This window comes from Homo sapiens, chromosome 2, assembly GCF_000001405.40.
Source record: "Homo sapiens chromosome 2, GRCh38.p14 Primary Assembly".
NCBI lineage: Eukaryota > Metazoa > Chordata > Mammalia > Primates > Hominidae > Homo > Homo sapiens.
In genome coordinates, this window is record NC_000002.12 from 435,456 (window position 1) to 436,335 (window position 880).

General features: G+C 33.3%; 1 annotated feature.

The window, feature by feature from the left end:
- Positions 451 to 620: an enhancer, noted in NCBI's record as "experimental_58516 CRE fragment used in MPRA reporter constructs". NCBI's record gives its function as "activates a minimal promoter by MPRAs in K562 erythroleukemia cells, with activity observed for the introgressed 2:435991 variant allele {active_cell/tissue: K562}" and the evidence as "EXISTENCE:reporter gene assay evidence [ECO:0000049][PMID:34662402]".

Below are 880 nucleotides of genomic sequence, written 5' to 3' on the forward strand. Positions count from 1 at the left end.
CAAGACTTCTCTATGAAAGAAAAACCTAGAGTTACAGATTATTTATTTCCTTATAACTTATTGGAAATAGTGGGTCAAAGTGTACAGACATTTTCTGTAAATTGACAGCTAGAACTACAGAACTTCTTTTCAAAAGTTGTATACTACTTTATAGAGCAACCAGTGTGCATTAAATGAGCGTACCTTCATCAACACAGTTTTAAATTTTGTTTTATTGATTCCACATCCTTTATTACTTTTTGATTCATTGTTAATACCATTTAACTTTATGGATAAATTGACATTTTTTTCCCTGTACCTGAGATTTAGGCAAGATCATTATTATTATTATTATTATTATTATTATTTTTTTTTTTTGGGAAAGGCATGGAAAAGTTGCCTCACAACCTGGGTCATGCAGCTGGTTTCTTCATGCACATCCAATTTCACGACTTCTGCCTTAAGTCTCTGTGCACAAAGCTACTTGCACCACTGATAGTCTATTCTTAATTAGTGATCCATTTCCAATAGCAAAGTACAATTCTATTAATGGGTCTCCTTGGGACATTAATGTGATTTCTGCTCTGCCATTTCCTTCCTATTGTTCCTTCAGACCATTTAATATTTCATATTGGTAATTAGCAAATTCTTCTTATTTAGTGCTAATTTTAAACATTCCATCTATTTTTGTAAGACCCCTTTTCAGTAAATAAGATAACCATAATTTCTTCTAAATGTTCACTATATTTATTCCTTTTATAGACATGAGACTACTGTGTTGCTCTGAAGTCACATAGACTTCTTCTACTGTGTTTTTTTCTAAAGTGCTTGAGTTTTCCCAGTCAAGACTCAGCTCCACTGACCATCTGGCGTGTTCCACTGAGCTCCCATTGTGTGCATG